This window comes from Homo sapiens, chromosome 6, assembly GCF_000001405.40.
Source record: "Homo sapiens chromosome 6, GRCh38.p14 Primary Assembly".
NCBI lineage: Eukaryota > Metazoa > Chordata > Mammalia > Primates > Hominidae > Homo > Homo sapiens.
The window spans coordinates 96,635,834-96,636,958 of record NC_000006.12 but is presented as its reverse complement, the minus strand read 5'-3'; positions in this window follow the sequence as shown (position 1 = coordinate 96,636,958).

The following is a 1,125-nucleotide window of genomic DNA, read 5'->3' as shown; positions in this document are numbered from 1 at the left end:
TGAATTTTTTTATTCAATAGGTTGTAATATTTTACCATCATTACTTATTTTGATGCCAAATTGCCCCCTTTGTGTTTGAGTTTTAAAAAATGGCATTAACCAGCTTTGTCACATACTTTATTCACATGACCTGCATTTGATAACTTCTGGCTCATTTCAACAAATAATATATTCTCCTGACATGGAATTTCATTCTATTTGATACAGACAAAATGAATAACGAAAAATTAATAATTTTGAAGACAGCTTTGTTGTAATCAGATACAACTTCTAAAAAACAATATACAAATATTATTTTTTCTTTGTTAGTATTTTATAAAGTTCACTACATCTATAGGATGACTCTGCCTCTTAGATTTTAGGTTTTGGCATATTCACATTTGTTTCATTTTCTGTACAATTTTTCTGTTTTCTCTGTTTAGACACTCCTTTGACCCAAAGGGAGAACAAGCCTGAGGGGTCAGGAATGGATTAAAATATATGTCAGGAATGGATTAAAATATAATATATATATATAAAAGTTACTCCTAATTATTAATTATTGATTAATCATTTTCTGTGTAGTTTAATTCAATAGGTATTATTCATTTGAGTTCTTCATAAGTCTGTTTTGTTTGGGATATCTCTCTTCAAACCCCCCACACTATAGTATTTTCAAAATTGTATCATATTTGCACATCAATGAACTTATGCCCCAAAGTGGAACTGTGGCTATAAACTTAAGTGTGAACCTATTGCTTACCATTGCTTCTCATATTGTCATTGAACAAGAATGGCTTGGAAAGGTTTCACTGATATTGTACCCAAAAACTATATGTAGAATTGTTCAGAGACTAAATAAGAAATTTAATAATTGTGAAACTTTCTAGAGAAAAATTACCTGACCTGGAGCAAAATTAGAGTTTGGAAGGACTTCCAATTTAGTTTATAAGTACAGAAAATATGAATGTAGCAACTTTTTGACTAGGCCTCTTTTTGCATTTAGGAAAACAGGTGGAGTTATTTGAATTTGAAAGAGTCTACTGGGTGAGGGTGAGAGGCATTGAAATGGGATTAAGCTATCCATTTATTAGGTTATTTAGGGCTTACGTTAATTTTGTGGCTAGCACAAGTAAAGCATTCTGC